At 38.2% G+C, this 9,355-nt stretch overlaps 1 pseudogene; it reads right to left on the bottom strand.

Annotated features, from left to right (window-relative positions):
- Window positions 2,347-2,825, bottom strand: RPS17P5 (ribosomal protein S17 pseudogene 5; annotated as a pseudogene).

A 9,355-nucleotide genomic window follows, 5' to 3' on the forward strand; every position in this document is an offset into this window, starting at 1 on the left:
ACACAGACAACAGTGGTCATGAGTTCTCAGGCTCTGGTTAGGTCTGTAAGTGTACAGTTGAATTGAATACACTTGTTGGATCTATTAGTGGCAGGCCTGAAAGTATGGTGTCTCTAGGACTGATCTGTTCTGTCATTTATTCTAGTCATGCATCTTTTTAATCCATTGCTTTGTAGTCCTTGAATAAGTAAGATGGAACTTAAAACTGTAATGATAACAGTACCCTTTTAATGTTTCCTTCTACTGCCTAGTAACATTTTATCCACACACAGCCTTACTTAGGCAGAAAAAATAGAGTGCAGGAGCTATGGCTCTTTTATTTAGATAAGCAATAGCTGTGTAAGAAAAAGTTTCTGACTACCAACAAAGTCCACATGGGCTACCTATACCCATCAAAAGTAATATATAGCTGGGCATGGTGACACACACTTGTAATCCTAGCTACTCTGGATTCTGGAGGCTGAGGCAGGAGGGATGCTTGAGCCCAAGACTGCAGGACCAGCCTGGGCAATGTAGTAATACCCCTGTCTCAAAAAAAAAAAAAAAAAAGATAATATATATAATCTTCATAACTCGGCCAGGTAGAATGGCCAGGGTGCTAAATACTTAGAATGAGATGTAAAACTCCTGTTCAAAGGTGGTAATGGTGAAACCAAATTTCAAGTGATTTTTAATATTGGCATCTGTAAACCAATGCCGAAAACACTAGAGGGATGTTAACTTTTTTACCTTAGGACATTCACTTGCTTGCCAATATGGTTTGGCTGTGTCCCCACCACCCAAATCTCACCTTGAATTATAACAATCCACACATGTCAAGGGCAGGGCCAGGTAGAGAAAACTGAATCATGGGGGCAGTTTTCCCCATACTGTTCTGGTTCTGGTGGTAGTGAATAAGTCTCACAAGATCTGATGATCTTATAAATGGGAATCCCCCTGCACAGGCTCTCTTGCCTGTGTCATGTAAGACATGCCTTTGCTTCTCCTTTGCCTTCTGCCATGATTGTGAGGTCTCCCCAGCCATGCTGAACTGAATCCGTTATACCTCTTTCCTTTATAAATTACTCAGTCTTGGGTATGTCTTTATTAGCAGTTTGAGAACAGACTAATACACTTGCCTTGTATGCATTTGGAAACTGTTGTTAATAAGTTGAATTTAAAATAGGATGCAACATTAGCTTGGAAAGAGTTCTTTTAACATCATAAGATGTTAAAGAATGGCTTGTCCAACCTCAGGCATGTAACTCTCGACAGAACTGCAAATATAACTTTGGTGTCAAAGTGCTCTTCCCTCTACAATAGATGTTAGAGCTTAGGTTTCTATTTTAGATATTAGTGTCAATTTTTTTCTACATATCTTTCTATGGCTTTGAAGGAAGAGAGCTTAAAAAAATTCTGATCCAATTGGACTGGAGTACAATATTTTTAAACTTATAACTTTTTACTTTTATTTTTTATTTTTAAAATTTCAACTTTTATTTTAGATTATGAGTTACATGCGCAGGTTTTTTACATGGGTATATTGCAAGATGCTGAGGTTTGGGGTATGACTGAACCCATCATCCAGGTAGTAAGCATAGTTCCCAGTAGGTAGTTTTTCAACCTTTACCTCCCCACTCCATTTTATTTATTTATTTATTTATTTATTTGATTTGCAGTGTCACTCTGTCACCCAGGCTAGAGTGCGGTGGTGTGATCTCAGCTCACTGCAACCTCTGTCTCCTTGGTTCAAGCAATTCCACTGCTTGAGCCTCCCGAGTAGTGGAGATTATAGGCGCCCTCCTCCATGCTTGGCTAATTTTTGTATTTTTTGTAGAGGCAGGCTTCCACATGTTGGCTAGGCTGGTCTCAAACTCCTGACCTCAAGTGATCCACCTTATACTCATCAAAAGTAACATATAGCCGGGAGCCACTGTGCCCGGCCTTCCCTGCCTCCCCCGTCTTCTTGTCCACAGTGTTTATTGTTCTCATGTTTATGTAAATGTATACCCAATGTTTAGCTCTCACTTGTGAGAATATGAAGTATATTTGGTTTTCTGTTTCTGTATTAATTCAATTGAATAATGGCCTCCAGGTGCATCCATGTTGATGCAAAGGACATGATTTTGTTCCTTTTTATGGTGGCATAGTATTCCACAGTGTATATGTACCACATTTTCTTTATTCAATTCACTGTTGATGGGCATCTAGGTTGATTCCATGTCTTTGCTATTGTGACTAATGCTTCATTGAACATACAGGGGCATGTGTATTTTTCATAGAATGATTTATTTTTCTTTTGGGTACATATATCCAGTAATGAGATTGCTTGGTCAAATGGTAGTTCTGTTTTTAGTTCTTTTTTGTTGTTGTCACAGATTTATTGAAAATAATACAGCATTGCAGAAAAGATTCAAACAGGTCCCCGAGGCATTTTGAAATTCATCCCAACTGTAGGCTGAGTGACCTGCAGGTTAGACAGACCACCAAAGTCCAAAAGCTTCAGCATTTCTTTAGTGTCAGGATCTACTTCAATGATCTCCTGATCCAGGGCTGAGATCTCAGGAACATAATTGTCTCTCCTTTCTCTCACCTCCTCCTGCAGCTTGATGGAGATACCTCTTACTGGGCCTCTCTGAATCTGCTTCATCAGATGGGTGACATAACCTGCTGTCTTGTTGTGGAGCTTCTTGCTGGGGATAATGGCAATCTCCTTGCACATGTGCTTGTTTGTGTGGAAGTCGTTGCCCAGGTGCATGTAGTACTTTTCTATGATGACCCAGGCAGCCTTCTTCATGGTTTTGGTGCAAACGTGGCCCATGTTGGTGAGTCCTTGGTAAAAGAGGTAGTTCTTTGAGAAATCTCCAAACTGCTTTCCACAGAGGCTGAACTAATTTAAATTCTCACCAACAGTGTATAAGTGTTTCCTTTTCTCCATGGCCTCACCAACATCTGTTATTGTTTGACTTTTTCATAACAGCCATTCTGACTGGTATGAGATGATATCTCATCTTGGTTTTGATTTGCGTGTCCCTGATGATTAGTGCTTTCGAGCATTTTTTTCATATGTTCATTGACTGCTTGTATGTCTTCTTTGAGAAGTGTCTGTTCATGTCCTTTGCTCACTTTTTAATGAGGTTATCTGTTTTTTGCTTATTAAATTGTTTAAGTTCCTCATAGATTCTGAATATTGGAACTTTGTTGGATATTTGTGAATATTTTATCCCATTCTGTAGATTGTCTATTTACTCCTGAGTAATTATTTTTAAAAACAGATCCTTTACAATGGATACTCTTTTGGTGCACAATTTTTGGCATTACTTGCAAGAAGAGGGAAAAATTTTTCCTCCAACTTCGTTGGTATTGGAAAGTCAGAGTAATAAGAAAAAGAACCCTGTTGTTTCCCTTCTCAATATGGGGTCCAAGTCATTCGCCTATTATTATAAATAAAAGTGACTGTAAATTATTATAACTAAGTATGAACATGATTGAAACTTATGACAGATAAAGATAATGCTTTGACTTCTCAAGTCATACTAGCCCTGATTAAATCCACATCCTTGGGTTTGCCCACATGTGAAGAACTCTTGAAGTGAAGAAAATTAGATAAATATCAAACATTCATCCACTTGAGAATCACAAGGTCCTTGTTCTCCTTTTGTTTTCCTAACCTTGCTCTAGGTTGAATTGAATCTTTATCAATTCAGTGTCTTGAATTGATCCAGATATTGAATCTTTTTCCGAAGTGAGATGTGGTCTAGGACTTTTAAGATTCTTGGGTACCACTTTAAGTCTTTGGGATTTAGAACTTCAAAGAGTTGGGAAGAGCAGTGCATGGGAGGTACTCGTCTTCATAATCTGTTTCTCTTCTAGGAGAAGATCTGTTGAAAATTTGGAAGGAGAAAAATTTGGCATTTTTTCTGGACTTCATGAATCATAAAGACAAACAGACTTAGTATAAATATTACTTCACCTGAGAAAATGTCCTTTCCTAACTCCTCTACCTGTTATAATTACTCCTTTTTAACTTTTCTGTCAACTAATCTCTTGCTGGCTGCACATTAGAATCACCTAATTTTTTTAAAAAAATACTAGTGCCTGGCTGGGTGCGGTGGCTCACACCTGTAATCTCAACACTTTGGGAAGCCGAGGCAGGCAGATCACGAGGTCAGAAGATCAAGAACATCCTGGCTCACATGGTGAAACCCCGTCTCTACTAAAAATACAAAAAATTAGCTAGGTGTAGTGGCGGGCGCCTGTAGACGCAGCTACTCAGGAGGCTGAGGCAGGCGAATGGCGTCAACCCGGGAGGTGGAGTTTGCAGTGAGCTGAAATCGCGCCACTGCACTCCAGCCTGGGTGACAGAGCGAGACTTCATCTCCAAAAAAAAAAAAAAAAAAAAAAAATACTAGTATCCTAGTGCCCAAGCCCCATCCTTTGTTTTAATTGATCTGGAACACTGATAGTGCTTCAAAAAATCCCTAGATGATTTTAATGTGCAACCGGCATAGCAAAACAGTGCTGTATGTTCCCAGAGCACTTTATTTCATAACTTGACACTTACTCTTTTGTCCCATAGTTCTATAAAATTCTGTCTCCCTGGTCACTTCATATGATAAACTGAGTATAAAGACCACATCTTAGTCAACTTACATAAGACATAACCTCTAGGAGCTGCTTGCTCATTAAGTGAGTTCTCCTCCTCCTCTTCCTCCTCCTCCCTCCCAACCTCCTCCTCCTCCCCCCCACCTCATCCTCCTCCTCTCCTTCTCCTTCTCCTTCTCCTTCTTCTTGTGATGGAGTCTCACTCTGTCGTCCAGGCTGGAGTGCAGTGGCATGATCTTGGCTCACTGCAACCTCCACCTCCCAGGTTCAAGCAATCCTCCTGCCTCAGCGCCCCCTAGTATCTGGGATTACAGGCACATGTCACCATTCCCAGCTAATTTTTGTATTTTTAGTAGACACGGGGTTTCGCCATGTTCTCCAGGCTGGTCTTGAACTCCTGGCCTCAGGTGATCCACCTGCCTCGGCCTCCCAAAGTGCTGAGATTACGGACATGAGTCACTGCGCCCGGCCTAAATAAGTTCTTCTTTTTAAAAATCCCCAACACCAAGTGGTGGTGTAGAACAATCACCAAGTTCTACAATCTGGGGCTACATCAGAAAATAAGACAGACCTAGTCCTTTACCTTATGAAATTTACAGTTATTTTGTCCTTGAGGGCACATATATTGTCCTTGCATTTGCAAATCTATCTAGGGTTTGCTAATAGCTCACCAAGAGGCATCATAGTAGAACAAATAATTGTTAAGTGTGTGCTAGCCACTGTGCTAGGTGTTGGCTACAAGAGGGCAGATGAACCAAGCTACAGAGGTCTTGATTTGGACATACTGTTTTATCGGCCCTTAGGACTGACCCATTCTGTGTTTTCTAAAACTTGTGTGTTTGTGAGATTTTCATTTAAACTCCGCTTACTTGACACATTAAATCGCAAAGATTTTTAAAATCTAAAATATTCCTACAAATTGCTAAAAAAAAATCTTATGGTTTCAATGCCTGCCCCTGCACTCTAAATGGTAAATAGAATGAATAGATGTTTGTAGATTGCTTCAATTTCCGTTTTACCCCAAGTGGGACACAGTACACTTTTTGGTAATAATGAACATAAAATATATATCTGGTTATTTCAATATGATATGTGTCATCTTCATTTCCTTCTAAATCAAAGATAAGTATCCATTGCAGAGAAAATAATGAGAACATATTTGCCTTTCACTTTATGAAGTACTTTCATTACTTTAAATAACATCATCTGATCCTTGCACCAAGTCTGAGATGTAGGGTGGTTACCATAGCACTTCTCTTGATTTTACAGGTGAGGAAACCTAGGCTCAAGTTGACACTCAAGCTCACCTTGCAAGATAGTGGCAGAGCTGATAAGGTCAGTGCTCTGTCATCCTATACTGCTATAAATATAAGTATGCATCCACAGGCATCACATAAATATGCAAATACCAAATTTCGCTAAAATACTTGAAATGCAAAAGCAAAAAATCTAGTATATTAATGTATTATAGCATAATATATGTTTTAGCAGCTTATTAATTTGCATTAGCTAGAGAAAGATGTGCTTCTCACATTTGTGGGAAATTTGAACTATGGAATATTTTTAAAAGGATGAAAATTTATCTCTTTCAAGTATATGAAAGAAGTGGACCTGCAATAACTAAAGATTCCTTTTAGAGGTCCTTAGAGTGCCTACTTTGGTTAATACTTAAGAATGCTTTGCAATTATACTCTCAATTATCTGTGTGTAAATGGGTGTTCCTGAAGTACTTGAGGATGGTAACAACAGTGTATTCTCTTAGTCTACATATGCTCCCTATAAACTTTATTTACACTACAGATTTGTTCAGCAAGACTTTTGTCCATTGATATGGTAAAGAAAAACTTCTGCTTAGCCAGACTTTCAGTAGATCAGAAATTCCAATTTAAGTGAGTCTGAATTAATGAGGTTTTACTTTATTTGCAATTTAATAGGTGTTACCCCATATATCTATCTTTACATACATGTATAACTTTATTAATATACATGTTTTTATACATTTTAACAGTACTCTGCAGAGCTACTGACTTGATTTATCAATGAACCTAAGACATTTCAAATTATTTTATAGCTTCTTAGCATAGATTTGCCTTAGTCCATCTGTAGCTGTGGAGGAAAAATTCTGTTTCCTTAAGTCCTTTTATGAGGGTGCCAAAAGGTATAAAAATATGAAGCCATTTAATAGCCAGGCTCTTTCAAACTACCAAGCACACACAGTGTGGGTGCTAAGTTTAATCACAGTGATGGATTTACATGTAATGTCTCAATTCCAGACTCCCTCATTAGTGCAGTCAATCTTGAAGTTCTCCCCAGTGAGAAGGGTGAAGGTGACTTCAACACCCCTGAGAGGACGGCTGGATATTGACAAGACCCAGAAAAAGACAGTGGGAAAAATCTCTACCATATGAGGCTATAATCCTAGCTGTGGTCAATGTGTTGAAAGCTTTATATTTCCTGACCACAGGATCTTTCTATAAAATGATCAGGGAGGAGGGATATTCCTAGGATTAGCCAGCTGGCTATTCCTGTATGCTTATTAAAATTTCTGGAAGAAATGGTGGGGCCTTTAAACCCTTTTACAATAAAATGACTATATCTGTTTGAGAAATCATAAGCTTTTCCCTCCTCCAACTATTTCATGCAAGAGGGCAGAATAAAATATTTTCAAACTTAAAATTTGACAGTTGCAGCAAAGAAATGGGAATATAGAAAATGGTGGTAAAAACAGCAGTAGCAGCAGAAGCAAGGAGAGAATCCAGATGTCACCTTTGCAGGAAGTCTTTTTCTCCTCTAAGGACCCGCAGGTCAGGCTTTTAAATTTTGGACAAAACACAGTTTTATTCCATGCCATGCAGAGTGTGGAGACAGCCTTGTCTTTTGGAGGCTGCATTTGGAACCCGCTGCCTCTTTGTATTCAACACCCACGTGTTATTCCTCTAGCTTGCTGAGTGAATCCCTGCACAATAGTGGCATTAAAGAAAGCAAAGCACTGGCAATGCATTTGGCCTCTTTGTTTAGGAGAAAAAAACCAAGCAACTTAACACTTAACATTCATCAGAAGACACTGGGTCATCAGGAACACTGTAGAAGTAGCATTAGAATTGGGTCCCTTTTACAAGAAATCCTCAGAGTGTTTAGTCAATAGTACCAGATGCAGGAATATTGTGTTTTATAGTCTTCTTTCTCCTCTTCCTTCTCCCCTGCCTCTTCTTTTCGATAGAGATTTAGTAAGTGGGGCCAAGATGCACACACACACACACACACACACACACACTCTCTCTCTCTCCATGTGTGTGTGTCTCTGAATATATAGGTAGATCTCCATTTCCTTCTTCCTCTCCCTCTCCTTTAAATAGATCACTGAGTCAACCAGATCTTCATTTTCAGATGAGGACTCCCGGGATATACATAGAGGATATCCAGTGAACCTTCAGTATCTTGATATTTTATCATTCCATTTGAGACTGTGTATTTTCTTCTAATTAGTATTTTCAGAATTTGACTGGGGCCTTGAATGAACTTGAAGGAAAAGATTTTGTTGAAAAGTATAATTAAAACAATAATTAATATTTGTTTAGCTTTTGTACAGTTTATAGTATACCTTCATATATTTTATCTAATTCCCCACAACAATTTATCTAATATATTATGAACTACTTAGAATTAGTTAAGCATAGGGCTGTTGAGGAAAGTTAATAGGCTTGTTCAGCAATAAGCAACTAAAGAGATTTAACGTGACCTTCTGGAAGTCTTCTAGTTGCCATTGGACATCCTGCCACACCAGAGTCCTCCAAATCGTAATAGAAAATCAATTTGACTTATCAATTTAACTACAATAATTTAGGTGGATCATGAAAGAATGAATTAGCATATTTTGAAGGGTTGTGTATATCTGAATTAGCATATTTTTAAAGGGATGTGTATAAGGGACCCAATTCTAATGCTACTTCTACAGTGTTCCTGATGACCCAGTATCTTCTGATGAATGTTAAGTGTGTTTCCAACCCTCTAGTTTCTGGGGGTGGGGTGTATATATACAAATCAGGAGTGGTAGTGCAGGAAGAGAGGGCACTGAGTTTTAGAAAGATCTCTGCTTTCTGGCATTTAATCATCAGGATTTAAGAGCATAAAAAGACAAAGAATATGTTAAATGATTCTCCAAAGGGGGAATGAGGAAGGGAATATAAGGATGGAAAAGGAAGCAAGATAGGACAGAAGGGAGAAATAAAGGAAAGAACAGATTAACAAGTGAGAAAGTAAGTGAAACAGCTGGTAATACCACTGTTCTTTCTGACTCAAGGCTAATTTTGAGACCCTCAAAGATTATGTTAAAATTGACTCAGCCACATATTTAACATGAGTTTGAGACAAGAAAAGGCTTCCTTCACTCTAAATATTTCTTCTACCCGATTCTTGAATGCCAGAAATTCTCTTAACATGAGGCAAAGTTTTTCAGTTCTCTATTACAAATTAAAGATTTTTAAAGCACAAATCTACAGGTAAAACAGTACATTAGTATGAATGATTTTCTGTCAAAATATAAAGATTAATTTCAGCCTATTTTTTGTTCAGATATATGGGATGTATTCACAATAAAATATTCTTTGTGTTTTCAATAATGAGATGGAGTTACCACTACACAAAAAATGAATGGAGTTACTGGAGACTCTAAAGAGATATTTTACAATTTACACCTGGTTATATCCATGCAATTGCATATGGACAAACAGGTTATTTGTAGAGATGTCTTAGTAAATGTGATGTGTATAAT

This window comes from Homo sapiens, chromosome 6, assembly GCF_000001405.40.
Source record: "Homo sapiens chromosome 6, GRCh38.p14 Primary Assembly".
Taxonomy (NCBI): Eukaryota; Metazoa; Chordata; class Mammalia; order Primates; family Hominidae; genus Homo; species Homo sapiens.